General features: G+C 40.4%; 1 annotated feature.

The window, feature by feature from the left end:
- Window positions 3161-3270: a silencer, noted in NCBI's record as "silent region_6765". NCBI's record gives its function as "represses an Ori minimal core promoter by ATAC-STARR-seq in GM12878 lymphoblastoid cells {active_cell/tissue: GM12878}" and the evidence as "EXISTENCE:reporter gene assay evidence [ECO:0000049][PMID:35858748]".

A 3499-nucleotide genomic window follows, 5' to 3' on the forward strand; every position in this document is an offset into this window, starting at 1 on the left:
AACGCATAAGCTGGGTATTCAGGTTTGTTTTTTTCCCGATGCATAGGTGTTGTGCCAGCACAGTATATCAGATAAACTTGCCCCTGCCCCTGCTTCCTTCCCCGCTGTTTCACTACCACGTTTCCCACACATACTGTAGTTTGTTTCTGGATGCTGTTTTCTATTCTGATGTATTTGCCAGCCTGTATTGTTTGATTTTGAGGGTATCAATAATTCATTTTTGAATCTGGTTCTGTCACTTTTAGCTTTAATAATTGGGGGCTATTTTTAAACATTTATTCTATAGGAACTTGAAATGATTTTATCTCCTGCGATACATTAAATGTCTATGTTAAGACGTCTTATTTACAGAAGTAAATTATGACCACTCTTTTACTGTAAAGGTAATTATATAGAAAAAGCTAAGCAAGTTGCCTTCCTAGGGCTGACTCCTACAGGTGTTATCGGTGTATTCTTCCAGACTTCTATCTATGCATAATACATGCATACATAGTAAGAAATAAATTCATGTGTGTGAATTTAAATAAGTTCACTAGGGAGCTAAAGCTGGGACTGCAGCTTAAACCCAGCATTATGTTGTTCTGGTTTCTTTATTATTACCAAATAAATGATTTGAAACAGTTAAAATCATCCCAGCACTAGTCTCTTTTGAGGGAGCGGCCTTTTCCATTTTCATACAAGGTCTTATTTTGCCGGCCGCAGTCCTAGCTGTCTCCAATTGAGCCAGAAGGCAGCAGCCAGAACTACTTTTGCCTGAGGGTCTTCCCTGAGACAAAGACTTCTGCCCTTGGCCTTCTTACTCTCGGATATTTGTGAAGCCCAGGATCTCTCTCTCTTTCTCCCTCTCTCTCTCTCAACTTCTGGAGCAACCAACTGCTATCTTAGTGTCATAAATTAATTCTAATATACCTGGGTGGCCTTTAATCTAGTTCCATTTTTCAAAGTTTTTGGCTTTTGGATAAGACCTTTTCCTGCATTGACATAGCCTCTCCCTAATTGTACCTGTTTTTGGAGTTGGGATTTGGAGGTGGAGGGATGTGAGAGAGGGAGGAAGGAATATAAGGTGTCTTTTATAAGCCTTCCTTTCTCAGGATCCAAAGTTTTTTAAAAAGAAAAGAAAACAGGTTTTTTTTAAAATATGCAGTGAACTATTTTTTTCCTCTGAAAAATGAAACCTTTATTGGCTTAATTTTGTACCCTAATCATTTACTCCCATTTATTTTGTGCTTACTGTTTGGTTCTATATTGATCACTAGGTTAGGTTTCTCATACTGGGTGCTTAGTCTTCCAAATTATTTATAGGTGCTTCACAGTTGATCGCAAACTAGTAAATAAGGCATCCTCTGGTAGGAGAAGCAGCACTGGATTTTACCAGTGGGAGCTCTGGCAAGTTGGCCACTTTGTGGGAATTTCCAGACCTGAATCTGCATCTGTGTAGAAGGAAGTTGAGGTAGATGAATCTCTATGGCCTTCCTTTCTCTCCTAGTTGGTTTTCCAAGATCCTTCCTCACCTTTTCCACTGCCCATGTCTTGGGTTTTCCTGTATTTCTTAGTTACGTTGCTGTTTTCAGTACCCTCTGTGCCCTCTTCTCTATCTGTGGATTGCTTTAAGTGACATTCAGACAGCCAGAGGTCCAGAGGCCATTTGACATAGAGGAATTCCATCCTTCCAAAGATCTCTTCTCATAAGCAGGAGTTTTTTGTTTTTTACACAAAACAAAACAAAACAGTTATCCTGATTGGATCCATGAGGACTAGCTCACTTGGCTGTGCCTCAGGAGAGGTCCAGAATGACTTTCTTGGACTTGAACGAGCTCAGAAGCATTGGCACTTTCTCGTTTACACTGGCCTTGATTTTGGGTAGAGGTTGAGCAGGCTGAAGTCCCCTCTCTGAAGCCATCATTGGATGGTAAAATGCATCTGCAGCCAGATGTTCCAGCTCTAGCAGGGTCACAACTGCACTGAGATGAACACAAGGGGGCAGTCTTTCCCACAGAATTTCGTCAAATCAGAGCGGAATTGAGTGCAGTTTCAATGTGAGCGCATGCGTGAGCCTGTGCTCTGTCCACACTAGTGCTCGTGTGTAAAACGTGTAGCCTGTAACTCTGTTTATAAAGAGCCTCAGGGTGAAGGGCATATGAATGCTGAGTAGATTTTGTGCTTCACTGTGCTACAGTTTCGTTAACACAACCCAGGCCTCCTCAGTGTAGGTTATAGACTATATCCCCCTGCCTAGCCCAGAGTCTTACACATGGCAGGCAGGCAGGTTGGTAGGTAGGGCAGGCAGCAGGTAGGCAGGCAGGCAGGCAGGCAGGCACTTTTTATTATTGGAGGCTTAGAGATGACTGAATCATTAATATACAGGAGTTGAAATTGATTTAGCCTGCTGTTTCAACCTGAAGAATGACTTCAAAGCAGTCATTTAAATTTATTTTTGCCTTTTTTTTTTCATTCTCCTGCCCCTCCTACCTCTCTTCCAACTACTAAAGGCATTGTTTCAATTGTATATCTTTTCTTTTATTTTTGTTTTCTCTTCATCTTGGAAATTGAGTTATGGCTCCTTTGGTTGTTTGTAGTTGGAAAAAGCATTATTATGAAAATATATGCTGTTTAGTGAACAATGAAGCAGAATATAAAATATCACTAATATCCTGAACCCCCATGCAATTAGAAGCACATTGTCACTAGTTTTGTTTTATGTTTCCCAGATGACTGTTAATTTAGCAGTTCAGCACATAATTGCATTGATGATCATATTTCAAAGGATTTGAGTCTATTGATTCAAGTGTAGAATTGAGGTAAAAGTTGTTATTCCTTCACTGTTGTATCTGAATTTGTCTTATTATTTGACTCTGTAATGGCTGGAAAAAATCTGAAAATCTGATATGCTTTGGAAATCAAAGGTAAATTTTATGTCCCCTGGGGGTAGGGGTAGGAGGGAAAGAGGAACTTTTTTTTTTTTTAGCTCTAAACAAAAGAAGCAATTAGTAGATTTATTGTATAATGGTTGTTTTTCTTCAAAACCACAAGTCTTCAATTTTTCTAAAACAATAGTAAATTTTCACTTTCTAAACAGTTTACGTAATCGGTTTCACCATATTTGCATATATTTTGTTAACTGATACTAACAGTGATGCCACAATTTGTGTGTGTGTGTGACTGAGTTTCGCTCTCTGTCACCCAGGCTGGAGTGCAGTGGTGCGACTTCAGCTCACTGCAGTCTCTGGCTCCTGGGTTCAAGCAATTTTCCTGCTTCAGCCTCCCAAGTAGCTGGGATTACAGGCACCCACCACCACGCCCAGCTAATTTTTGTATTTTTAGTAGAGACAGGGTTTCACTATGTTGGCCAGGCTGGGCTCCCAAAGTGTTGGGATTACAGGCGCGAACCACCGCTCCTGGCCGATGCCACAATTATTAATGCACTTGGAAGATATATCAAATTAGATTTAACCAACGTTTATTTAGTACCAACTGCATGTCAGATGTTCCCTGAGTCAGT

Source organism: Homo sapiens, chromosome 15, assembly GCF_000001405.40.
Source record: "Homo sapiens chromosome 15, GRCh38.p14 Primary Assembly".
NCBI classification, from domain to species: domain Eukaryota; kingdom Metazoa; phylum Chordata; class Mammalia; order Primates; family Hominidae; genus Homo; species Homo sapiens.